The sequence below is a fragment of the Homo sapiens genome, chromosome 3 (genome assembly GCF_000001405.40).
Source record: "Homo sapiens chromosome 3, GRCh38.p14 Primary Assembly".
NCBI lineage: Eukaryota > Metazoa > Chordata > Mammalia > Primates > Hominidae > Homo > Homo sapiens.
Window position 1 is genome coordinate 119,776,147 of NC_000003.12, and position 27,693 is coordinate 119,803,839.

The window sequence follows — 27,693 nt, forward strand, 5'->3', positions numbered from 1 at the left end:
AAGAAATCATGGAAACGAAGAAAGGAAACCAGGAAAATAATATATGAACAAAACGAGAATATCAATACAGAGATAGAAATTATAATGAGGAATCAAATAGAAATTATGAAGGTGAGAAGTATGATAACTGAAATGAGAAATTTCACTAGAGGAGTTCAACAGCAGGTTTGATCAGGCAGAAGAATGATTTAACAAACTTGAAGATAGGACAATTGAAATTATCCATTCTGAGAAGCAGAATGAAAGAGTGAAGAAAAGTGAACAAAGACTAAGATACCTGTGGAACACCATCAAGTGGACCAACATATGCATTATGAGAGTCTCAGAAGGACAAGGGAGAGAGAGAGACAGAAATTATATGTGAATGGCCAAAAGTGTCCCAAATGTGATAAAAGACATGAGTCTACATATCCAGGAAGCTCAACAAAGCCCAAGCAAAATAAACACGAAGAGATACACCAAGATACAGTATAGGCAGATTGTCAGAAGACAAAGAGAATCTTGAGAACAGTGAGAGAGAGGCAACTCATCCTGTACAAGGGAGCCTTAATAAGATTAACAGTTGATTTCGCATCAGAAACCATGGAGGCCTGAAAACAGGAGGCCTGATGCCACTTCACACCTACTAGGATGGATATAATTTTTTTTAATGGAAAATAACAAGGAGAGGATGTTGGAGAGGACATGAAGAAATTGGGACCCTTGTACATTGGTGGTGGGAGTGTAAAACGATGCCACTGCTGTGGTAAAGCTTGGTAGTTCCTCAAAAAGTTAAATGTGGAACTACCACATGACCCAATGTCTTAGTCCATGCAGGATACTACAACAAAAATACCATAAACTGGATAGTTTATAAACAACAAAAATTTATTTATCATAGTTATAGAGACCGAGAAGTCCAAGGTCAAGGTGCCAGCAGATTCAGTGACTGGTGAAGGGATCTATGATCCCTTCCTGGATCATAGATGACAGTCTTCTCACTATAACTTCAGGTGGAAGAACGGGCATCAATCATGAGGGCTCCACCTTCATGACCTAATCTCCTCCCAAATGCCCCACCTCCAAAACCATCACCTTGGGGGTTAGGATTTCAACATATGAATTTTGAGTGGACTCAAACACCTAGCAGTTCCACTACTAGGTATATATCCAAAAGAAATGAAGCAGAAGCTCAAACAAATATTTATATACCAATGTTTATGGCAGCATAATTCATAGTAGCCTAAAGATAAATGGATAAATTAAAGATGCTATATGCATACAATGGATTATTATTCAGCCATAAATAGGAATGATGTTCTGACCCATGTTACAACATGCATGAACATTATGCTCACTGAAATAAGCCAGACACATAAGGACAAATATTGTATGATTCCAATTACATAAAATACCTAGAATATGCAAATTCATGGAGATAGAAAGTAGATTAGAGGTTACCAGGGACTCAAGGAAGATAACAATGGGGAGTTGCTTAATGGATGGAGTTTCTATTTGGGATGATGAAGGGGTTCTGGATATGAATAGTGGTGATGGTTGCAAAACATTATAATTAATGCTACTGAATTGTACACTTAAAATGATTTAAATGGTTAATTTTATATTATATGTATTTTTTACCAGAATAAAAAATGTTGGCTGGGTGTGGTGGTTCATGCCTGTAATCCCAGCACTTTGAGAGGCCAAGGTGGGAAGATCGCTTGAATTCAGGAGTTCAAGACCAGCCTGGGCAACCTAGGGAAACCCGTCTCTACCAGAAAAAAATAGCTGGGCATGGTGACATGTGCCTGTAGGCCCAGCTACTCAGAAGGCTGAGGCAGGAGAATCGCTTCAGCCTGGAAGGTTGAGGCTGCAGTGAGCCATGATTGCCCCCACTGCACTCCAGCCTGGGCAACAGTACAAGATCCTATCTCAAAAAAAAAAAAAAAAAGTAAAGACTGATAAATTGTACCTTATAAAAATAAAATAAATACATAAAATGTGACTAGCAATTTTAAGACACTTAAATATTTGAATTAATTTATTGAATACCTGCTCTGGGAATTAGTGTTGTGTTTCCATTTACAGAGACAAAACAGGTCTAATTGATTGACTAAACAATAGATGTAAATGTGGTCAGTGTTTGGATGTCTATTCATAGAATAGGAACAATTTTTCTGAGAAATGATTTGACTCTCAGCTGTTTCCTGTATGACCTCTCAATTTACATTTTATTCAAGAGTTTCTAATATAATATTGTGGAGCAAAGAAACTTGACAGCAACAGCTGTTGAGAGAAGGTAACTGTCATATTAATATTTCTGGGAAGAGGTATTGCGGTGTTACCAGATTCCAGATTTGCACCTTTTCCCCTCAATCCCTTTATCCCTCTCAAACATTATAGTGATTTATGAAAATATATGTATAATTCCAAATAAGTTTTAGATAATTCCATATATACCAAATACCCAATTATCTCTTTGCTGTCAAAGGGTAATTTATCCTCATCATGACACTTGCCATCATTACAAGTTTAAAGCCTAAAAATGAAAAGAGGTTTCACACATTTAAGAGCTAACTCATTTAATAATAAATCAAAAGTAAGTATGAGTTTCATTTAGTAGTAGCATGAGCTAGCTGCAGGGAAGGTCCTCTCAAGGTGGTCCTTTTTCTTCTCTTCAATAAAGGCAGAACTCTATTAAAGCATATTAGTAAAAACCATATTTAAAAGAATTACTACACTGAACTGAGCAGCCACCAAATGCAATTGGTACCAGGTGATATAAGGGCTTCTCCTCTCAGGGGGCTTATAAGCAACTAAGGCAGGAAGTCACAGATACCATATTCTGCAGTGTAATTTACAAATGAGGTGAAAACAAAGTGTTCCAAAATTCTAAGAGAGACATTGGAATTCTGACCACAAGTGTAATTTATGGAGCCTCAGAGTAATTATAGGATCTGGAACAGCTGGTGCTCAAATTTAGTGGTCCTCCAGTTGCTGGAATCTGCGATTTCTGGGAAGTTAAACTTTGTGTCACTGCTTCTACTTGTGATAAAATGAAACCGCTTTCAAAGAGAAGATTCCTATTCCTAGCCTTTTTGGGTAACTTCTACTACCTCCACTTAAGGATGAAAAGGGAGAAGTTTCCTCCAAGACTGCCTCATGGGGATCAGAGTGTCACCTCCATGCTCCTGCCCTAAGTGCCCCTGAGCACACCCCAGAGGGAGGCTAAGAGATTTTTGAGAAAGACCATGTGACTGGCTGATAAACACCTATTTTCCTCAGATTCCACCTGAATTTATATCATCAGTGCATCACTCTTTTATTTTGTTCTCTCTGTTCCTCTTTTTAAATATTAATATTCTCTGGAGAGGGGTAAAACATTAAATGAATTCACACTGAGGAAACTGGCCAGGTACAATGGCTTATGCCTGTAATTTCAGCAATTTGGGAGGCCAAGGCAGACAGATTGCTTGAGCCCCAGAGTTTGAGACCAGCTTGGGCAACATAATGAGACCTCGTCTCTACAAAAGAAAAACAAAAAAAAAAATTAGCCAAGCATGGTGGCACACACCTGTAGTCTCAGGTATTTGGGATGCTGAGGTGGGAGGATTGCTTTAGCCCAGGAGGTTGAGGCTGCAGTGAGCCATGACCATGCCACTGCACTCCAGCCTGGGTGACACAGCAAAACACTGTCTCAAAAAAAAAAAAGAAACTCTTCAGGCTGATCAGATCTGCTTTTCTCTGATGAGTTTCTTAGGAGCTCTACATTTCTGGTTGCTGCAATAGGCAAAGTATAGAATGGAGGTCAAGGCCTCAAATTTCTCTGACTTCCCAGCTGGGCTTGAGAGTGACTCTGGCCCTCAACTGAGGGCATTAGTAAGCTGTCCTTAAGAACGAGAGTGTATTTTCTGGCTGTATTCTTAACTCATTTCACTATAGAGCCATGTCTGATATTAACAGTGCAGTGCTAGACTAGAGAGGCCTGGCACTCCTACAGCCTTCTCCTGTCTTCTAGCTGGGACTTCACACCACAGACCCAAAGGAAAAGAGACCCAAAGATCCCTGCAGAAACCTGAGAATATTTCCTTTACCTCAGTGGTTTCATAATCTGTTCTTAGTTTCCTGTTTCTGCTGTAAATAATTCACTATATTTTTAAGAGAGAGAAGGTCAGGCCCTTGTGAGCCAGAAGGGATTTGAGAGATGATGAAAGCTACGTATGTTACCCATAACCTAAGGACTTCTGGCAAGGTGGCCTACCTGAGCTGGAGTCATGCCTTTTTTCCCTGGACTTGGAGATACCTGTCAGTGCAGAAAGGCCTACTTTTGATCTTGGAAATAAGTTTCCTGGGGTGAGTTCTTAACCCTTTCCAGCTTTCCCACCCTCTTTGGCTTTAGCCATGGCCTTCTGATCTGTGTTTCTCAGGGGACCTGCAGGCCCCAGATATAGCCCCATGCTGTCCTCCTACCCCAGAGCACACTGTTCAGGCTACTTCCACTGGTACTGAAATCCAGTATTTCACTTACTCTTTTTCTTTCCAATATCCTCATGACATTCAATATTTCACTTACTCTAGGTCCTCCCTGCCTAAGGCCCAAGTCAACTTTCTGTCCAGTGGGATTTGTAATCCAATACCTCCTAGCCCTAGCAGAATCCCATGTGGATAATCAGAAATGTGACTGGAAAAAGGACAGAGCTCTATGGCTGTGGGTCCCAGTCCCCACTGCTGGCAGTAAGTCCCCAGCAGTGAGCTGTGTAAGCACCTTACATTCTGCGCTTGGTTGAAAACAGCAAGGCAAGCATCCACTTGAGAAATGTCAACCCCTAGGAAATCCCAGCCTCAAGTCTTTCTCATCCCTTGGGAAGTGCAAATTGGATAGAGAAGAAACCAATTAAAAACAAAACAAACAAATCATACTTAGATATTCTGGCTTTTCTCACCAGGGCTGGATTAAAGCATGTACTTCAAAATAATAACAACTTAAGTCAATAAATAAATGTAAGGAAGTCCAAATGTTCACCTGAAGACAACTGTGGTCATTTTTTGGCAATCCCAGGTTCTCTTTTCTACCTGTTTGCTCAATCGTGGTCTCCCTCTCCCTCTCTTGTTGGGGCCCATGCCCCTGCTTTACTGTTGCCAGAGGCTTGTACTTGTTTGCCTTTTAGGTAGGAGCAGTTACTTCCACTCCCCTCACCTGCCATAAAGCATCTTTATAAACAAAGCAAGTAGAAGAAACACATCCTGGTATCCACCACATTCGGCTTTTGTTGATTCTGTTCACTTGGGAGCACCTGCTGCTAGGGAATAAGAAGGTTGAGGCTGAAGAGTGAGGACTCTTCAGCTCCCCTCTGGCAGGACCCGGGAGAGGAAAGAGCCCTCAGCTGGTCCATCCTCCCCACTCCTGGTCAGCCTTCTGTTCTGAGATCAAAGTGGTGGGGTCACATTCTCGAGAACTGTGCTCAGCCCCCTCATCTCACACCCTTTCCCTCTCCCTGTGTGCCTGCCCCCCTCTTACATAACCATGCTGGTGATTGGCACCGTCATAAATCAATACTTTGCTCACTTTCACATCAAGTAACACTATCCAGGGAGGTGGTTTCAACAAAGGAGGAAGTATAAGGAGATCTAGGTTCAAATTAATGTTGCCCCTAGTGGTAAAGGACAGAGACCCTCAGACTGATGAAATGCACTCAGAATTACTTAGACAAAGCGGATATTTGCCACTCTCTTCCCCTTTTCCTGTGTTTTTGTAGTGAAGAGACCTGAAAGAAAAAAGTAGGGAGAACATAATGAGAACAAATACGGTAATCTCTTCATTTGCTAGTTCAAGTGCTGGACTTGGGACTTAGGAGGGGCAATGGAGCCGCTTAGTGCCTACATCTGACTTGGACTGAAATATAGGTGAGAGACAAGATTGTCTCATATCCGGGGAAATCATAACCTATGACTAGGACGGGAAGAGGAAGCACTGCCTTTACTTCAGTGGGAATCTCGGCCTCAGCCTGCAAGCCAAGTGTTCACAGTGAGAAAAGCAAGAGAATAAGCTAATACTCCTGTCCTGAACAAGGCAGCGGCTCCTTGGTAAAGCTACTCCTTGATCGATCCTTTGCACCGGATTGTTCAAAGTGGACCCCAGGGGAGAAGTCGGAGCAAAGAACTTACCACCAAGCAGGTATGGTTTTTCTTTCTTTCTCTTTTGCTGGGGGCTGACCGCCCTTCAGCTCCAGCCAAAAGATGTGTGTGAACACAAATATACCTTCTGTTTGAGGTCAGCATCATAGTGGGTCGTGAATCATGTTGGCCTTGCTGCTGTCTCCTCATTTCTAGGGTGGAAAAAAAAAAGCATGAAAACAATCACTTAATGTTGAGCCCCATTACTGATGCTCTCTGGTCCTGCACTAGCCTCCTAGAAAAATCACCACAGGAGAAGCCTTAACTACTGCATGAGTTACCACAAGTCACACATACAACCAGCTCCCTGTTACAGGGCTGGAGTCCCTGGACCCAGGAAATACCACCTCCAAGGACTGTGGGAGCTGGGGACTATGGGAACTGGGATCAACTCAGTCCTGATTCCTTTTGGCCTGCTGGGTTAGTGCTGGCAGCCCCCTGAGGCCAAGGACAGCAGCATGACAGTCACCAGGACTCACCACTTCAAGGAGGGGTCCCTCAGAGCACCTGCCATACCCCTGCACAGTGCTGCGGCTGAGTTGGCTTCAAACCAGTGAGTTTTCTACCTCTACTATTGAAAGGGCACCTTGTCCCACAGAACCGAGTCTTGCCTGCATGTGGTCAGTGCCACCAGGTCCTTCTTCTCTCCACTTTACAGCCCAGCTCGGCTGAAGCTATGGCCAGAGGCACTGCTTTAAGGCCACTCCATATCTAGGACAGGTCAACAGACACCTCTGAGGCCACTGAGTCTTGACTCAATGAATCAGCTATAGCAGGCACTATTCCTCTCCCACATGGCCTCTAATGATATGGTCAGAGTTGAAAGGATGCTAAGGGAGGCCTCAGAGGCTTATTTAATCAGTTGGTTAATGGGAAAAAGTATTTTGTGGTACACAAATACGCTTTAAAAATATTTTAGTTATGTCATAAAAGTCTAAACCTGGGGTTGACAAACTATGGCTCACAGGCTAACTCTGGCCCACCAGCTGTTTTTATAAATGAAGCTTTATTGGAACACAGCCATGCCCATTCGTTATGTATTGTATATGGCTGTTTTTGCCCTACAACATCCTTTCAACTCTGGCCATATCATTAGAGGCCATGTGGGAGAGGAATAGTGCCTGCTATAGCTGATTCATTGAGTCAGCAAAATTGACCAATTGCGAAAGAGACAGTATGGCCCACAAAGCCTAAAATATTAACTATCTGGCCTTTAACAGAAAAAGTTTGCCAACTCCTGATCTAAAAGCTGTCAACTTGTTCCAAAATTATTATGGAATAAACCCAAGACAACCACAAAACTGACTAGACTAGGTTTTTTAGGTAATAACTTTTTAAATTATAAAGTAATACATGATTTCATGCTCCTTGAAAATGAGAAAGCAGTATAGATAAACCTAAATTCACCTTTGGCCATTCTGTCAATCCTAATCTCCAGTTTCCCCAAAAGTACTTAGTGTGATATATTTACTGCCAGACCATTGTGTCTGTGTGTGTGTTCATCTATGCATAGATGGACTATTAAACCTATCTGTTGCCATGTTGTTCTAATTCTGTTTTTCCACTCAATAGCAAGACTTGGAGACTTTCCATATCTGTATAGAGCTCTACTTCATTTATTTTAACTGCTACGTCATATTTCACAGTGTACACTTCTTTTATTTAGCCGTTTTCTTTTCGATAGATATTTAAGCTTTTCCAATTTTTCAGTCTTACCAATGAACCTCACTGTGTTTGTCTGCTTCTAGACATGTGCACGTATTGCACTAGAGGAACTACTAAGACGTTGAATTGCCACATCACAGGATATATGTGGTTCAATTTTTGGCTGCCAAACAGCCCTCCACAGTACCCGAACCGACTGTACTCCCACCAGCAGAGAAGGATAGTTACTGTTCCTCCACACTCCAAACAATGCTTGCTGTTTATTCAGTATTTTATTATTTTTTCCATTGAATTAGTGCAAATGACAACCCATTATTTCAATATTTTAATTTCCCTGATTATTAATGAAGTTGAGCATTCTTTTTATAGGACCCCTCTTGGCCATTGTATTTCTCTTCTTAAATTACCTATTCATATCCTTAGCTTATTTTATGTCGGATTTTTTTTCTTCTTTGTAGGAGTTTTTTATTTATTCTCAATGCAAATTATTTGATATGTGTGTAATATTCTCTCTAAGCTTTGTTTAAATCATACTTTTTAGCCAACAGAAATTTTTACTATTATTGTTGTTGTTATTTTGATGTAGTTGAATCTGTTAGTTTCCCTCTTTCTGGATTTTACTCTTTGAGGCTGATTTTTAAAAGATTTCTCAACTTCCAAAATTATGAAGCTACTTTGGTGCACCTTCCTGTAATACTTTTATTTAAAAAGTTAGTCTTTATTCACCTGGCACTTATTGCAATACATTATTTCAATACTATTTATTGAAAAGTCCATCTTTTTCCTATTTGTTTGAAATATCACCTCTATCATGTACTAAATTCCCACTTACACATGTCCATTTCTGTGTCCTTTTGTATTTATTTCCTATTCCTGAGCCAATTTCCACTATAATGTTTACCTTTTCTACTTGATTTTTTCCCCCAATAAATAGAAAATCTATTTTGTGTTTTGATATTTTGCCTAGTTACCTTATGGAATTCTCTTAATAGTTATAAAAGCTTATCAGTTGATTCCTTTGGAATTTCTAGTTAGACAAACATATCATCTATATATAGTAAGAGTTTTGCTCCTTCCTTTCCAATCTTTACAAACCTTAATTTTTTGTGTCTTATTGGTTTTTCTTTGCCATTCAGCATAATGCTGAGTAGTAGCCATGAAAGTAGATAGTCTCAGAAGTGATGCATACAGTTGTGTGGGTTCTATACTGCACAATTCTAGGAGATACTCTTTACAAACACTTAGATGTCCTAGGAATTCTTGTCATGTTCCTGATTTCCATTTTTATTTTGTACTATGAACTCATTTGGAAACTTCTCTTTGGGACTTGTTGAGATTGAAATTGTTTTCCTCTAGAGGATTTATTTTTGCTTTTGCCAGGAACCTGAGGACAGAACTAACTGGGACCACCATAAGCTTGGGGTCTACTGGCCACACAAATAGTGAGAATCCTGACCCAAACTTACTTGATTGCAGGCCTGTTGTTAAGAATTTCAAAGGAGACTTTTCTTTTTGCTCTACCCAGAGCCAAGGCTGAGAAGGCCTGGGATAGACCTGTCTCCCTCCATGGTTTCTACTGAGGATGTCACCCTTAGGGGATCTTGAGTTTATAGTCTATGATCTGGTTAGGCTCCAGGCTTTGTCTCCTATTCTACCATTAAAATCCAGGCCCCAGGCCTACAGGAGTCCAGAAAACTCCAGGATGATCATGACTTCCCTTTCTCATGCCTCTGGCTTAGCATAATCTTATAAATTTTGGCCTCTTGAGACTTCCTTTACTTTCCTACCAGCTCAATCCTGCATGAAAAATGACATTCTTAAAAATTTAGTATTTCTAGGTGCTGCATACCAGGAGGATTTTCTGTAACCAACTTCTCCATCATAGTGCCAGCAATAAAATCTTTATTTTTTATTTTAATGAGATTGATTCTAATGCTTCTCCAATAAGATAGCTAGTAAAAGTGTTTAGTAACTATTCCATATCAAGTTAGTGAAGCTCTCTTCTATTCCTCTTGGTTAACCAAGAATTTTAAATCATGAATGAATATTGAGTTTTATTAAATGCTGTTAAGCATTGATTAATTTCCTTATCATATCTCCATAGTTAATTATATAGCTCATCCCAAGGGTGATAGAAGCAGAGATGATCCAATAGCCACTAGGACCCTTGGAATGCAGACCCATGATTTTTCCATTAAAAAGAACAATAAATTCAGGGAACGTGGACAACATTAATTCAAATTCTTAGTGTGGTTGCCACGTTCTGTTTGTTGAGCCATCAGACTCTTGCCCTCACACTTCAGATATTGGTGTCCTGGGCACAACCTGGGGAGGACAGGAGGAATGTGTAGGGAACCTCTCTTGCATACAGGGGCTTTTTAGGTGGCACAATTTGAAGGGGGCTGGGAAAAGTTCCCTGCAACACCTCCTGAACCTCTTTGAAACATCGATATAACAAACTGAATATCCAACTGGAAATTGACATAAAGAGACATATCCAAATCCCTCATGTAATGTTTGAAATAATTTTCCTGGATCTGTGTAAGTTCCAAAGAGTCAAACTATAAAACCACAGGCAACACTGGCACTACACATGCATTGATAAGACATAGGCAGTTAACTCAGAGGCCACTGTGTCCTGTTAAATATTGGAAGAGGGTACTGTGTGTACTTATGACCTGGGCTGGTGCCAGCTCTCAACCCTGATCTGTGTCTAGTAACCTTCTGACCTCTTGGATCTGATGACCAAGTCCCAGGAAGCATAAAGGCCAATTTTCATTTATGGCCCCCTGAAGAGAGCAGCTGACTTCTCTTTCTTGAATTCATAAACCGTGACTTTGGCTATCTGAGTTTCCTCTGGAGGCCTGCCCCATGCCAGGGCCAGTGAGGAGGTTTTGTTAATAATACTTGATTTGTTTCATAAAGAATTTAAAACATATAGCCTCATTTTGCCCCCATGAATTCTGTGAAAAAACAACTTGCATCATGTATCTATTTACATGACAGGAAGAATCAGAATAAGGGAAAAGAAAAGATGTTCTGGCCAGGCATGGTGGATCATGCCTGTAATCCCAGCACCTTGGGAGGCCGAGGCAGGTGGATCACTTGAGGTCAGGAGTTTAAGACCAGCCTGGCCAAAATGGCGAAAACCCGTCTCTACTAAAAATACAAAAATAATCCAGGTGTGGTGGCACACACCTGTAATTCCAGCTACTTGGGAGGCTGAGGCACGAGAATCATTTGAACCCAGAAGGTGGAGGTTGCAGTGAGCAGAGATCATACCATGGCACTTCAACCTAGGGGACAGAGTGAGACTGCCTCCAAAAAAAAAAAAAAAGTTCCGTCATTAATTGACTTCATGAACTGGAACACACCCCAGAGCCCCAGTTTCCTCATTTGCAAAAGGGATAATAAGAACTGCCCTGCCCCCGACTCCCTTATTCAACTTGGGATAAGCCCTGCCCTGCCTTCCTCACAGGCACCTTGACATGAAGTTGTAATTTTGAAATCATTTTGTAAACAGCAAAACTTGTGCAAATGTGAGTTAAATTCACCAAACGTCTCCCTTCACTGAACAACGTCAATGGTTTTATAGGCATCACTTGCCTGCATCTTAGAAATTCAGTATTCTTATATTACATTCCCCTTACTTGCTTTTTTCTCTTTATCCTCTGGCCAGTTCTGCTATTAATATGTGTGTGTGTGTGTGTGTGTGTGTGTGTGTGTGTGTGTGTGTGTGTGTGGTGTGTATGTGTATCTTGGAGATAGTAGGATGATTATATATATATTTAATTATGCGTGTGTGTATATATATGTGTGTATACACACATAATTAAATATATGTAATCGTGTGTATGTATATGTATGTATACACACACACATAATTAAATATAATCCTGCTATCTCCAAGAGTTTCTATCCCAAAGATTATGATTTTTGTTTTTTTATCCATTTACCCCCTTTTACTTAGACTCTGTTGCTTCAAATTCAAGTTGCCCACTCTTCTCTTCCCATAATCTCAGTGACCTGGTTCCAAAGCTTGTGCTTTGACTCATTTGAAGACTAAATTTATCTGTATGTCCTCCCCACATCCTTTTCCTGGGAAGGAACTATCTCACCCTCAAAGTACATTGACTTTTTAAAAAATTATTATTATTATTACTTTAAGAGACAGGGTCTTGCTGTGTCACCTAGGCTGGAGAGCAGTGGTATGATCATGGCTCACTGCAGTCTCGAACTCCTGGGCTCAAGTGATCCTCCCGCCTCAGCCCCCCAGAGAGCTGGGACTACAGGTGTGTGCCACCATGCCCAGACACTTTTAAAATTTATTTTTGGTAGAGACAAAGTCTCATGTTGTTGCCCAGGTTCATCTGAAATTCCTGGCCTCAAGTGATCCTCCTGCCTCAGCCCCCCTAAGCATTGGGATTACAGGTGTGAGCCACCATCCCTGGCCATCATTATACAAATTTATTTATTTATTTTCATTTGATTGAGACAAGGTGTCATTCTCTTGCCCAGGCTGCAGTGCAGTGGGACAATCATGGCTCACTGTAGCCTTGACCTCCTGGGCTCAAGTGTTCTTCCTGCCTCAGCCTCCCAAGTAGCTGGGACTACAGGCACATGTCACCACACTTGGCTAATTTTTTATTTTTTTGTAGAGATGGCATCTCACTGTATTGCCCAGACTTGTCTCGAACTCCTGGCCTCAAATGATCCTCCTGTTTCAGCTTCCCTAAGTGCTGGGATTACAGGTGTGAGGCACTGTGCCCGGCCTGTATATTGACTTTAAACAACAATTTATAATGTGAGTCATTTCACATATCTCTTTGATTATTTATTTTATTTCCTAGCACCATAAAGTTGTTTTTATTGACAAGATCATCTTCTCCATGCCAGTCTGTTTGTGTACTGCCAATTTTCTGTCTGGTTAGTTGGATTTCCCTGCTACTACTGCAAGTGTGGACTGCAGACCCATAGCATCAGCTCACCTGGGAGCTTGTGAGATGCTGAAGCTCAGACCCACCACAGACCTACTGAATGGGAATTTGCATTTTCATAAGCTCCTGGGTGATCTGTATGTACTTGAAAGCTGGAGCATCACTCTCTTAGATTGTAAGCACAGGCTCCAGGTTACCTTAAACGGGGGCACTTCTGAAGCAGGCATGGGAGAGAAGGAAGGCAAAAATCTCAATTGCCAGGGCCCTGACCTCCTAGAGATTAAAATGTAGTTCAGAACTCAGGTTGGGATCAAATGCACTTTAATTGACATGGTTATCTTTTTCTTCCTGATTGTAGTGCTTTTAACTACTGTATTAGTCCATGTTCACATTGCTGATAAAGACATACCTGAGACTGGGTAAATTACAAAGAAAAAAAGGTTCAATGGACTCACAGTTCCATGTGGCTGGGGAGGCCTCACAAACATGGTGGAAGGCAAACGGCATGTCTTACATGGTGTCAGGCAAGAGAGAGAATGAGAACCAAGCGAAAGGGGTTTCCCCTTATAAAACCATCAGATCTCATGAGACTTATTCACTGCCATGAGAACAGTATTGGGGGAACCGCCCCCATGATTCAATTACCTTCCACCAGGTCCCTCCCACATATGTAGCATTATGCAAGCTACAATTCCAGATGAGATTTTGGTGGGGACACAGCCAAACCATATCAACTATTGATGTTACTTTCCTTTGTTTCCTTTCTTTCTGCTGCTTCTCCTCCTCACAACTTCTGTTTCCTCGGGGCCCTTCCTGCTTCACAGCTTCCCTGTCCTGCCTTCTCTCTGAGTGCACTGTGGCTGCCATGCACAGGGCAGGACTGAGGCACCCCAACCAGTCTACTATTTTGGCTTCCTTTTCAATTTAAATTCAATTTAAATATTATTTAAATATTTGATCAACATTTATTTGGTGATGTTCTTTTTTTAATTTGTAAAATATACAGAAGGAGCAGGATTGAAAAATTAATTAGTTCTGGTAAAATTCAAATAACAAATTTTACCATCTTAAGCATTTCTAAGTGTATAGCTCAATAATGTGAAGTATGTTTTCATCGTTGTGCAGCCAATCTCCAGAGGTTTTTCATCTTTTAAGATGGAAACTCTACCCATTAAACAACTCCCATTCCCCTCACCCCACAGCCCCTGGCAACCACCATTCTACTTTCTGCTTCCATGAGCTTGACTACTATACCTCATATTTGTCTTTCTGTGACTGGCTTATTTCACTTAGCATAATGTCCTCAAGGTTCATCCGTATTGTAGCATGTGTTAGAATTTCCTTTTTTTTAAGGCTGACTCATATTCTATTGTAGTATGTCCCATGTTTTGTTTATCCATTCATCAGTTGATGAAATTTGGGTTGCTTCTACATTTTGTCTATTGCGAATAGTGCTGCTGTGAACATCAGTGTACAAATATCTCTTCAAGACCCCGATTTCAGTTCTTTTTGGATATACATCCAGAAATGGTTGCTGAATTATATGATAATTCTATTTCAATTTTCTGAGAAATTGCCATATTGTTATCTATAATGGCTACACCATTTTTACATTCCTACCACCTGAGTCCAAGGTTCCCATTTGTCTACAGCCTTGCCAACACTTGTTATTTTCTGTTTATGTGATAGCGGCCATCCTGAATATAAAGTGATGTTTCATTATGGTTTCCCTTTGCATTTGCCTTATGATTAACGATGTTGAGTACTTTTTCATGTGCTTGTTGGCAAGTGATGTTCTTTTAAATGTGTACTATGTTCTTTATGGTCAAAATAAATAATTTATTCTGTGTAATTTTCCAAACCACACAACTTCTTGGAAGGCATGTTTAAGTGTTCACATAATAAAACAGTACATTTCTTCCTTGCAAACAGCCCTACACCACATATTTTTCCATTTCTGGCTCTGTCTGCCAACTTCAATGGGCTGTCCTCAGGGTTGGGTTGGCTGGAGTGGCCCTGTGTGACAGGCATGTGAGTGTCCCTGAGCACCGTACAGATACTAGTCTGCATTGTCAAGGAGTGTTTTAAGTCTCCACCTCAGGGTGATGACTGCTTTGGTAGGAAAGGAGGCAATCTAAAATTCACCTGATTTCTGATTCATTCCAATAATGTTTTGGTGTCTTTGAATATGGCAGCCCCCTGGGCAGCAGTCCAGCCAGCAGACCTTATAACTTAGCTCTGTCTGTATGTCTGACATCCAGACTCACTAGAAGAGGATCTAAATGGGCCAGGGAATTACTTGTCCCTGGGACAGAGCAATTACACCATCCCTCATAGGCCCCAGAAGGCCTATGGACCTTTGCTTGGGCACCAGGAGCTTCTCTGAGAGCAGGTTTGGGGTGGGCTTGGCCTCCAGAGTGGCCTCCTCCTGCAATGTCAGGCTAGATTAACATCTATGAGAGTCTCCTGTACAAGGAGAGGTGGGAGGCTGTGAACACTCCTATGTAACACCATTTGTCCCCTTGTGTGATTGCTTCACCAATGTTGACAGCTCATGTGACACACCTGTCTTCTTCTGATGGAGGAAGGAAGTAATACCATTTTCTATCAAAAGCATTCTTTGATCATCCCTGTCCTAAAAAAAAGTTACTTGATGGGTCTCTTGTCAAAATCAGTGATATGGTTTGGATGTTTTATCCCTTCCAAATCTCATGTTGAAATATGACCTCTAGGCCGGGCTCAGTGGCTCACAACTGTAATCCCAGCACTTTGGGAGGCTGAGGCGGGCGGATCACTTGAGGTCAGGAGTTTGAGACCAGCCTGGCCAACATGGTGAAACCCCATCTCTACTAAAAATACAAAAATTAGATGTGGAGTTCAGAGTGGAAACAGGTGTGAGAGGGTTCAACAGAAGAAAACATAGCTGCCAAGTGTTTGAGTCCATCGGCAAGTTTGGACTGGCCTTAGCTGTTGCAGAAGGCATGGTGAACTCTGCCTTATATAACATGGATGCTGGGCACAGAACTGTCATCTTTGACCGATTCTGTGGAGTACAGGACATTGTGGTAGGGTAAGGGACTCACTTTCTCATACCATGGGTACAGAAACCAATTATCTTTGACCACCGTTCTCAACCACATAATGTGCCAGTCATCACTGGTAGCAAAGATTTACAGAATGTCAATATCATTCCGTGCATCCTCTTTGGGCCTGTCACTAGCCAGCTTCCTCGCATCTTCACCAGGATCGGAGAAGACTATGATGAGCGTGTGCTGCCATCCATCACTACTGAGATCCTCAAGTCAGTGGTGGCTCGCTTTGATGCTGGAGAACTAATCACCCAGAGAGAACTGGTCTCCAGGCAGGTGAGCGACGACCTTATGGAGCGAGCAGCCACCTTTGGGCTCATCCTGGATGATGTGTCTTTGACACATCTGACCTTCAGGAAGGAGTTCACAGAAGCAGTGGAAGCCAAACAGGTGGCTCAGCAGGATGCAGAGAGGGCCAGAACTCACTGGCCACTGCAGGGGACGGCCTGATGGAGCTGTGCAAGCTGGAAGCTGCAGAGGACATCACGTACCAGCTCTCTCGCTCTTGGAACATCACCAATCTGCCGGCAGGGCAGTCCGTGCTCCTCCAGCTGCCCCAGTGAGGGCCCACCCTGCCTGCACCTCCATGGGCCAACTAGGCCACAGCCCCAGTGATTCTTAACACTGCCTTCCTTCTGCCTCCACTCCAGAAATCACTGTGAAATTTCATGATTGGCTTAAAGTGAAGGAAATACAGATAAAATCACTTCAGATCTCAAAAAAGAAAAAAAAAATTTAGCTGGACGTGGTGGCATGTACCTGTAATCCCAGCTACTCGGGAAGCTGAGGTAGGAGAATCACTTGAACCCAGGAGGCAGAGGATATAGTGAGCTGAGATCGCGCCACTGCCCTCCAGAGTGGGTGACAGAGGAAGACTCCGTCTCAAAAACAAAAAACAAACAAAAAAAAAGAAACGTGGCCTCCAATGTTGGAGGTAGGCCTAGTGGGAGGTGTTTGGTCATGGGGGTGGATCCCTCATGACTGGTTTGGTACCCTCGGTAATGAGTGATTCTCACTCTTAGTTCATAGAAGAGCTGGTTGTTTAAAGAGCCCGGCACCTCCTCTCTCTCTTGCTCCCTCTTGCTGTGTGACATGCCGGCTCGCACTTCACCTTCCACCATGCTTGGAAGCTTCCTGAGACCTCACCAGAAGCAGATGCTGGTGCCAAGCTTGTACAGCCTTCAGAAGCACGAGCCAAACAAACCTCTTTTCTTCATAAATTACCCAGCCTCAGATTCCTTTGTAGCAATACAAAATGGACTAACACAATCAGATCTCACTGTAACTCTGGAAACTTGCTGCCCACCCATTCTCTTCTAGCCAAAGTCCACTTTTTCCCCTCCAGAGTTACCACAAGGAAAATGAACAGCCTCAATCCTTACCACTCAGGCAAGATTAAAGAGTTACAGTGCAGCAGAGAGGCAGGACAGGACCACCGTGGGCCAAGCGATCCCAACTCTGCCCAATCAGTGGAGGCTGCCTTCTGGAGGCTGTAGGGGAGGATCAGTTTCCTCACCTCTTCCAGCTTCTAGATGCCGTGGCAATCCTTGGCTCACAGCCCCTTCTTCCATCTTCAAAGCCAGCAACTTAGCATCTGACCCTTTTTCCACATTACGTCTCTTTCTCTGATCAAACCCAGGAAAGCTTTTCTAATTTTAAGATTCATGTGATTAGACTAGGCCTGCCTGGATAATTCAGCACACTCCCCATCTCCAGGTTCTGTACCCTCATCACATCTGCAGAGACCCTTTTGCCATATAAGGAAACATATTCACATGTTCTGGGGATAAGGGTGCAGACATCTTTGAGGGCCTTTATTCTATCTACCATAAGGACACGATCAAAAACATTATAGAGGCATGCCAGGCAATTAATTAATGAAAGTGTTATGACATTTTTCTGAATTCTGTGATGTTGTTACTTGTCCTTTTTAATGTCTGTCATTTGTTGTGATTTCTTTTCTCATTCTTTCTTACAAATATTCTCTTCGGTACATAATTTTGTATTTGTAATTGCGTGTTTTTTAAAATTATTTTTTAGACAGGGTCTCACTCTGTCACCCAGGCTGGAATGCAGTGGCACAATCCTAGCTCACCACAGCCTTGAATTCCTGGGCTCAGGCAATCCTCCCACCTCAGCCTCCCAAGTAGCTAGGACTACAGGCATGCACCAACATGCCTGGCTGAGTTTTTTTGTTTGTTTGTTTTTTTGGGGTGTTTTTTTTTGAGATAGAGTCTCACTCTGTTGCCCAGACTGGAGTTGTGTGAACATGGCTCACTGCAGCCTCGACCTCCTGGGCTCACGTAATCTTTTCATCTCAGCCTCCTGAGTAGCTGGGACCACAGGTACGTGCCACCACACTTGGCTAATTTTTAAATTTTTTTGTAGAGACAGGATCTCACCATGTCACCCAGGCATGTCTCGAACTCCTGGGCTCAAGTGATCCTCCCACTTTGGCCTCCCAAAGTGCTGAGATTATAGGTGTGAGCCACTCACCCAGCCTTTTTTTTTTTTTTTTTAAGAGATAGGGTCTTGCTATATTGTCCAGGCTGGTCTCATACTCCTCACAATTGATCCTTCCACCTCAGCCTCCCAAAGTGCTGACATTAGAGGCATGAGCCCCCACACCTGGCCTATATTCTTTTTTCTTAAATAGGACTGCCCAGGCCAAGCGCCATGGTTCATGCCTGTAATCCCAGCATTTTGGTTGGCCAAGGCAGATGGATCACCTGAGGTCAGGAGTTCAAGATTAGCCTGGCCAACATGGTGAAAAACCTGTCTCTACTGAAAATACAAAATTAATCTGGTGTAGTGGCCCATGCCTTGCGGTCCCAGCTACTTGGGAGGCTGAGCCAGGAGAATTGCTTGAACCCAGGAGGCACAGGTTGCAGTGTGCCAAGATCGTGCCTTTGCACTCCAGCCTGAGTGACAAGATTGAAACTCTGTCTCAAAATAAGTAAATTAAATTAAATAATGTAAAATAAAATAAAATAGGACTGCCCAAATTGTGTAAGCCTCAGAACCCACGTAAGCTGACTAAAGGGCACCTCTACTTGCCCATTGACTAACCTGAACACCAGATGAAATTGCTCTTCCAAACACCACTAGCTGGGGAGTTGGCTCTTGGCTGGGGTTGGTCAGTGCACAGGCCAGTAAGGGAGCTGGGCAAGTGCAGAAGTGGAGACTAGCTGTGTCCCAGACAGCGACTCTCCGGCTGTGACCCTGGAGAGTCCTTTAGCAGGGCAAAGTGCAACATAGGCAGACCTTAAGGGATGACTCAGTAACAGATAAGCTTTGTGTGCCTGCAGGGGGATGGGAAGAGGGTGGGGCAGGAGAGGGACATAAAAGGGCTCTGAGGCATTGTACTGTGAATTCCTTCAGTCTCCTGCTCTGCTCAGCCAGTCAGCCCTGCCTCCCTTGTTTAGGACCACACAGCACTGCTGGGTGTCTGCCTTTCCTTGTGACTCTTCTCTAGCCTCTGCATGGCCAGCAGCCCTCTTCTTTTCTCCTATTCTCTTAAGAAACATGCCCATCACCTGCAGTTTCTCTGGGCTCCCCGTTAATCTGCCTTCCTCATCTCCTAATGCTGCCTCCTCCCTCCCATTGCCGGTGCCTGGAAATAGTCAAGGCTGGGTTCTGTTCTTTTGCTTGAATTTCTTTCACTTGGCTTCTTGACTCTTTCTAAACTACAATCCCCCCATTCTCACTGCCTTAGTTTTCCCTCTCTCTGTGTTTCTCAAACTATATCCCACCACGCCCTGACAAGGGCTTCTCTCCTGTAGATCATCCCTTTTCTAGTATTTTGCTAGAAATATATAGTGGGATTTTCTCCTTTGCCCTACATCATCACTAAACTTCCCAACCTAATAGGCAGTGTCTTGCACCTTCTACTGATCATTTCATTCTTTCTTGCACTAAAGATGACCACTTCCCATGTCTGTACCCAATTCCTGTTTGGCCCAAATGTATCTGCAGCACTCACCCGTGTTCTCACACTGAGTCTCTAAATATTTGACTCCAAAGGTCACTAGTGGATCACCTCCCTGCCTCTCACTTTCCCCCAAGGCACAAAGTCTTCTCCCAGCACTTCTCTTTAGTCCTCCTCTTCCTCATGTTTCTTCTGTAGGGGGAGGACCATGTTCAACTTTGTGATTTTTTTCTAGTTTGTAGTTGTGATCTACCCTGTACCACTGAGTCATCTCAAATCACTTAAACACTCACACCAAGTGTACCGCACTTCACGGCTTAATCCCCTGTTGATCAGAAAACCCCAGGTCCCTGGAATTGAAGCAGGGTCTCATTCAGCCTGACATGACCTGAAATTTCTCCCTGACTCCTTTCCCAGCCCCAAGACAGGGGACTTGCAAGAGTCCCATTGTTGAGCCTCCTTGGAACCCACTGTCTTCCATTGGTCATGTTCCACCCAGCAGGTTCTATCTAGTTCTAATCCTCAATGCTGCTTCGCATCCCTTCCTTGCTCCATTGTCCAGCCCTGAGCTCACTCAAGCCTTGTACTGCTCTCCCCTTTTCCCTTCCCTCCCAACCCTATTCCTCTCCTCTCTACATACTCCTGGGAGCCTTGCTCCTTCTGTAGCAGAAACTTCACACACATTTTCTTTCAAATTCTCCTCCATTGCTATCTCCAGTTGCACCGCTCTTCTTCATTTCTTTCCCTCCACATTCAAACTTGTCTTCTCTGGAGGGCATGCTCTCCTGGGGGCTCCCCCTGGCCCAGCCTCAGCATGGCATCTGCCTTTCTGGTTCCTTCCCACCTTCTCTCTCCTCACTTCTTGCCCTGCCAGATCTGTCTATGGCAACAGCCCCTGCAGCAGTGCACTCTCCTCTTCCTCTTCATGCCCAAAGCCATGTCAGCCTCTCTCAGCAGCTTCCATTTTATTGTAGAGACACTAAGCATAGAGAAGTTAGTGAGTAAAGTGAGTTAGTTCAACATCAGTGGCAAGGGCTAGGACATGGCCTCCTGACTATGACAACAAGACAATGCCCACTATATCTCCAGCCGCCAGGAGCAAAAAACAAAGTCCTCTGACCTCCAGGAGGCTGCCGGCTAGCTGGGTCCTGTTTGGTCACAATCAGTCATTCCCATGTTTATGTGTGTGTCATTCATGGAAGACCTCCCTTCTCCCTTTAATAGGGGATTTGGGGCCTCTTAGCAAATGAAGTAACTGCACAAAGATATGTGTGTGTGTGTGTGTGTGTGTGTGTGTGTCCCCTTCTCATTCTTATGAAGTCCTAATGCTCCTCCATTACCCCCAAACAAACACAGGGGATCTTATACTGAAAATCAGCATTCACAGAAAGGAAATGGCCTCATGAGGAAGCAGCAGGAACAATCTGTTTATGGGAGAGCTCAGTGGGCCAGGCAGGAGGTGTCATGGCCCTTCCTCTGCGTCTACCATACCTCCTTCTTCAAGCTGTTTAGGTGGTGCTCTGGGGTGTCAGCCTCCAGGCATTCAGCTATCGGACTCTTACTCTAAAGAGGAAAGGGAAAACTGAGGAAATACAGACAATTATAGAGGAGAAAATGAAAATAATTCCAACCCCAAATTCATCACTATTTCAATTCTATATATATACATATCTACACACACAGATACATACATACATATCTCTAAAAGATAGCATATACAGGACATTATTATTATTGTAGTTTTAAACCTTCAATATTGTTTTATATGCACCCACATATTTACCCTTTTTAGTTCTCCATATTCCCTCCTGAAGTTCCATGCTCCCCACTGGCTTTTGCCAGGATAACTTTCTTTGGTATTACTTGTAATGCAAGTATCTGCTGGCAACAAATTCTTCAGTCTTTGTCTGAAAATGTCTTTATTTTGCCTTTACAATAGAAGGATAATTAAACTATTGGTCAAATTCTTGGATAGCAATAAAGATATTAACCATTGTCTTTTCTGTTTTACAATTTCAACTGAAAAGTCAACCATTAATCTTAATTTTATTTCTTTGTGGTTAATTTTTTTTTTCTGGGTATTTGTAAGATTAGTTTTCTTGTCATCGATTCCCAGCAATTTTACGATGTGTGGGTAGGTATGTGTGTTTTTAATCCTTTCATTGGTTTCAAAAACTTCTTGGCAAGTGTGCTTTCCCAGATTGCTTCTGTCCGATTCTTGTGTCCGTAACATATGTTAGGCTATTTCACTGAGTCTCGTGTGTCTCTTACGCCCTGTTCTTTTCTTAATGCTCTTTTTTGTTTGTTTCTGTGCTTCGGTTTATATATTTTCTGTTGACCTAATTTTGAACTCACTATCACTGTCTGTTGCTGATTCAATCTGTTGTTAAAACATCCAATGAGTTGTCAGTTTCAGATATTGTACTATTAATTTCTGGAATGTCCAGAAATGTCCAGTTGATTATTTTTAAAAATAGCATTATTGAGAGATACCTTATGTATCATAAAGTCTAATCATTTAAGTGAACAATTGAATAACTGTTAGTATATTTAGAGTTGTGCAGCTATCATCAAAATCTAATTCCAGGACATTTCTATGCTCCAAAAAGTACTCGGGAGGCTGAGGCAGGAGAATGGCGTGAACCCGGGGGGCGGAGCTTGCAGTGAGCCAAGATCGCGCCACTGCACTCCAGCCTGGGCGACAAAGAGAGACTCCGTCTCAAAAAAAAAAAAAAAGAAAAAGAAAGAAAGAAAAAGAAACCTCATGTTCATTTGCAGCCACTCTCTATTCCACTCTCAGCCACAGGCAACCACGAATCTACTTTCTCTATGGATTTGCCTTTCCTGGACATTTAATATAAGCGGAACTATACAAAATGCGGTCTTTGGGTATACTTCTTTCACTTAGAATGTTTTCAAGGTTCATCTGTGCTGTAGCATCTATCCTTCATTCTTTTAAACCGCTGAATAGAATTTCATTGTATATTAGTATTCCAGGTGCATTCCACATTTTATTGATCCACGAACCGGTTGATGAATATGTGGGTCGGGTTTTGGGCTATTATGAATAATGCTGCTATGAACATTTGTGTGCAGTTTTTGTGTGTGGGCATAGGTTTTCATTTCTCTTGGGTGGATATGTAGAAGTGGAATTGCTGAGTTATGGTGAATGTGTTTAACATTTTAGGTAACTGAGCAATTGTTTTCTTAAGTGGCTGCACCATTTTACACTCCTGCTAGCAGTGCATAAGGGCTCAGTTTCTCCACATTATTGCCGATTCTTACCTCTTTTTGATTTGTAGCCATTCTTGTGTATTGTAAGATGTATTTCTTTGTGGTTTCAATTTGCCTTGCTCTAATAATCAATATTCTTGAGTATATTTTCACATGTTTATTGGTCATTCATAGCTTCTTTGGTGAAATATCTATTTTAATCTTTTGTTCATTTTTAAATTGGGTTATTTGTATTTATATTATTGAGTTGTAAGAGTTCTTCATATATTCTGGATACAAGTCCCTTATGGGATATGTGATTTTTAAAATATTTTCTGTCTGTGTCTTATCTTTCTACTTTCTTAATAGTGTAGAAAGCACAAACATTTTCAATTTCAATGAAGTTCAATTTATCAACTTTTTTGTGCCATATTTTTTCTGATTAAAAAACAAACAAACACAAACAAAAAAAAACTTTTAAAAGACAGGAATAGAATAAGTCTTCCGAATGTAATATGACAATCTGTCTTACCAACCACCAGTAATATGCTTTATAAGGAAAACTAGGCTGGGTGTGGTGGTTCATGCCTCTAATTCCAGCATTTTGGGAGGCTGAGGGGCATGGATCACCTAAGGTCAGGAATTTGAGACCAGCCTGGCCAACATGGTGAAACCCCGTCTCTACTAAAAATACAAAAATTAGCTGGGCGTGGTGGCAGGCACCTGTAATCCCAGCTACTCAGGAGGCTGAGGCAGGAGAATCGCTTGAACCTGGGAGGCAGAGGTTGTGCACCACTGCACTCCAGCCTGCGTGATGAGACTTTGTCTCAAAAAACAAACAAACAAACAAACAAACACACACACACACACACACACACAAAGACATATAATACCCGAAGCCTTCACGCTTTTGGTGTCACATCTAAGAAATCTTTCCCTAACCATAAGAACTTATTCCTGTTTTCTTCTCAGAGTTTTATAGTTATAGCTCTTACATTTAGGTCTATGATTTTGTGATCCATTTTGAGTAAATTTTTGTGTATGGCACGAGATAAGAGCTTTAATTCATCTTGCATGTGAATATCCAATTTTCCAAGCACCTTTTTTTAGCAAAGCTGGCCTTTCCTCCATTGAATTGCCTTGCATTTTTACCAGAGATCAATTAATGATAATAGTAAGGGTTTATTTCTTGAATCTCAATTATGACCCATCAATCTCTATATCTGTCTTTATACTAATGCCACATTATCTTGGTTATTTTAGCTTTGTTGTAAGTTTTGAAATCAAAAAGTGTAAGTCCTCCAACTTTGTTATTCTCTTCCAACATTATTTTGGCTATTATGGGTCTTTTACTTTTCCATAGATCACAGTTCTCCTTTGAAGCTTTTCTTGCCTTCATCCCTTTGTCTATATTATCTTCCATTTATTTTTCATTAATCATAGGGTGTTTTTTGGTCGTTTTTTTCCCCTTTTTGTGGAGAATGCGGTCTTGCTGTATTACCCAGGCAGGTCTTGAACTCCTGGGCTCAAGCCCTTCAGAGCGTATAGGACAAGATGCCTCTGGATGTGGTCAGAGTGGCAGTAAGGTTCCTCGGTCCATTCTTCTATAGCTGGAATTGAAATGGCAAGAAAAGGAGTGAGGGTCTTAGGGAATCACTTCCTGCCTGGGAACAGAGAGCTACATTAAAGGAGTCCCATGGCATGGAGGGACCCTGTCTGGGGTGAACCACCTAGGAAAAAGTTTGCAGGCAATCATGGAAATGAAGAAAGTTTAATAAACGGTTTACCCACTCAAAGACAAACCTTGTGAAGGATGCAGCATAGCACTGAATTAAGAACACAGGTTTTGGAGTCAGACTGACATGGGTTGAGATTCTGGCTCCACCTCCTCCCAGCTAAATAATGTCAATGAATCACTCACCTGAAGAGGAGAGGGGCTGTGTGTGCTCAGTGCAGCCTGACAGTGCCTTCAGCAAACTGACAATTTTAGTCACGTAGAAAGACTAAATTCATTGATTTATTCACTCATTTATTAAATAAATGAATTATATTCTTCCTTTCTGAGAACGTAGTCCTTAGCTTTAATACTTACCCTGCATACCGGATTTTACAATTAATTATCTTTGCAAAGCCCTCTCTGAAGAAGTGTTTACTTTCACTCAGTACAGGAGATGATCCTTTCAACCTTCTTCTGATGAGATTTCACCGATTACTAAGCACCGTGAGAAGCAGGTGGAGCCCTCAGAAGCAAACACAGTTGTATTCAGTTAAAAGTACACATCTAATTGGTCTCCCTAAATTTGCATGAAAGAGAGATGTAGCTGGCACACCTCAGACACCCAGTCACTGTCATTTTCCTGCCCAGAGGGCAACATTCTGTAAAGGAACAGTGATGGAAGAGTGGCATGGGAGCAGGACTGCAGCTGCTGGGCTGGCTCCCCCATCACCACAGTTCAGATCTATTTCTAACCCAACTCCAGGGGTTCCACTTCCATTATTTCTTGCCGTGTAACAAATCTCCCCTAAACTCACTGGATTAAACCCACCACTGTTTCATTTTCTGACATGATTTTCTGTGTTGGCTGGGCTCAGCTGGGGAGTTCTTCTGCATCACAGGACCTTGGCCAAGGCTGCAGTCACCTGGAGGCATAATTGGGCTGGGGAGTCCAAGAGGGCTCACTCACACATCTGCTGTTTGGTGAGGGCGGCCGGGAGGCTGGGGTGGCTGGTCCTGTCTCATCGGTGCGATCTCAGGCCTCTCCCTCTTCACATGGCCTCTCCGCATGGTCTCTTTGGGTGGTCACTGAGCAGGGTAGCCAGACTTTGTTGCATGGTGGCTTAGGGCTCTCCAAAGACAAAAGCAGAAGCTACCAGGCTTCTTATAGCGTAGACCCAGAATTGTCTCTTCCCCACATTCTATTAACTAAGCAAGTCACAGACCATCCTAGACTCATTATGGGAGGGGGCTGCACAAGGGTGTGAATCTTTCGGGGCATGGCTCCTGGGGGCCACCTTGGATAACAGCTGTAATGGGTTCTCTAGCGGGGGCTTCATAAGCATATGAGAGAAGGAACTATAGAATGTGCCAGAGTCGGCTTGCTTAACACTTGGGCAAAACAAAATGAAAGTTATACAAATACTGCGGAATGAGATTCTAGCATTAATTCTACTATCTCCTCATTAAGAAATTGGGGAAAGTGTAAATTAGACATGATTTAAGTAAATGTCTTTTTTCTGGTCCTTTGGTGATATTTCTTTTATCTTCTTGGTCCATGTCACCTGTGGGCTTCTCCTGTGATTCATGTAGTCATGTTGTACTTGTCACTTCCATTATGGGGAAGAGCATTTATATTTATTGCGAGAAAGCAGCATCTCACCATCTTCAATTGTCCAAAGTTCACAATTGATGTGCAGAATCTTTGCCAACTGTCTCCATTGCCCCAGGTGCTGCTATCCCTCATGGCTCCTGAATGATGCTGAAAATGTAAGGGAGGTTGGTCTCTTCTAATGTACACTCTGAAATACTATCCTGCTAATAACATTTTCTCTGCCTGCCTGTGATGCTCTTTGATTTTGGAACACTCTTTGTGTCTGTGAACAGTTAGAGGGTTATGTAAAGTCCCTGGGTTTTTGTCATAAGAGTGACTTCCAAGTTATTTGGAATACATAACAGAATATATCTGGTGTGTAGTAGATGCTCAACACATGTCTGTTGAGCAATATGATAAATGCTATGATGATTGTTATGAGGAATAAATGAGTGCCATGTTCTGAATGTTTATGTTTCCCCCAAATTCGTATGTTAAAATCCTCATCCCCAGTGTGATGGCTTTAGAAGATGGGGACTTTGGGGGGTGATTGGGTCATGAGGGTAGAACCCTCATGATTGAGTTAGTGTCCTCATGAATGAGACCCCAGAGGCCGGGTGTGGTGGCTCATGCCTGTAATCCCAGCACTTTGGGAGTCTGAGGCAGGTGATCACTTGAGCCCAGAAGTTGCAGACAAGCCTGGGCAATATGGGGAAACCCTGCCTCTACTAAAAATGAAAAAAAAAAAGTAGCTGGGTATGGTGGCATGCACCTGTAGTCCCAGGAGGCTGAGTTGGAGGATCGCTTGAGTCCAGGAGATAGAGGCTGCAATGAGCTGAGATCACACCACTGAACTCCAGCCTGGGTGGCAGAGTTTTTTCTTTTCTTTCTTTTTTTTTTCTGTCTCAAAAGAGAGAGAGAGAGAGAGAGAGAGATAGAGAGGTCCCAGAGACCCAAAGAGCTAGCTGGCTAGCCCCTTTCACTATATGAGGACAGAGGGAGAAAGTGCCATAGATGACAGGAAGCAGGCTCTTACCAGACATTGAATCTACCAGTGCCTTAATCTTGGACTTCTCAGCCTCCAGAACCATGAGAGATAAATTTCTGTTGTTTATAAGCCACTCAGTTTCCGATATTTTGTTATGGCAACCTGAATGCACTAAGACAATGAGTGACCTTTTACAAAGGACCTGAATAATCATTATTTTCCATTTTGGTATCTGTTCCATCCCATATTCTCTAATACAAAATCTGTCCCAAAACACTAATCCTGAACCTAAGATTGCTGCAGCTACCTGCTGAAACCATCTTTCTCAGTGTACTTTTTTTTTTTTTTGAGACAGAGTCTCACTGTGTTGCCCAGGCTAGAGTGCAGTAGCGTAATCTTGTCTCCCTGCAAC

The 27,693-nt window shown here is 42.4% G+C and overlaps 1 protein-coding gene and 1 pseudogene across 3 annotated transcripts in view; both read left to right on the forward strand.

Moving 5' to 3' along the window:
* NR1I2 (nuclear receptor subfamily 1 group I member 2) overlaps positions 5,955 to 27,693 on the forward strand; it is a 36,387-nt gene continuing 14,648 nt past the window's right edge. For 2 of the 3 annotated variants that reach the window (NM_003889.4, NM_033013.3), the window contains exon 1: positions 5,955 to 6,154. Coding sequence is in view for 1 of the 3 variants with exons in the window: in NM_022002.3 (NP_071285.1) it covers positions 6,612 to 6,706 (95 nt within the window). In the remaining 2 variants the exon portion in view is untranslated. Of the gene's footprint in view, positions 6,155 to 6,563; positions 6,707 to 27,693 lie in introns of those variants that run through there. The other variant, NM_022002.3, reaches the window with a different exon arrangement.
* PHB1P8 (PHB1 pseudogene 8) lies at positions 15,624 to 16,564 on the forward strand (annotated as a pseudogene).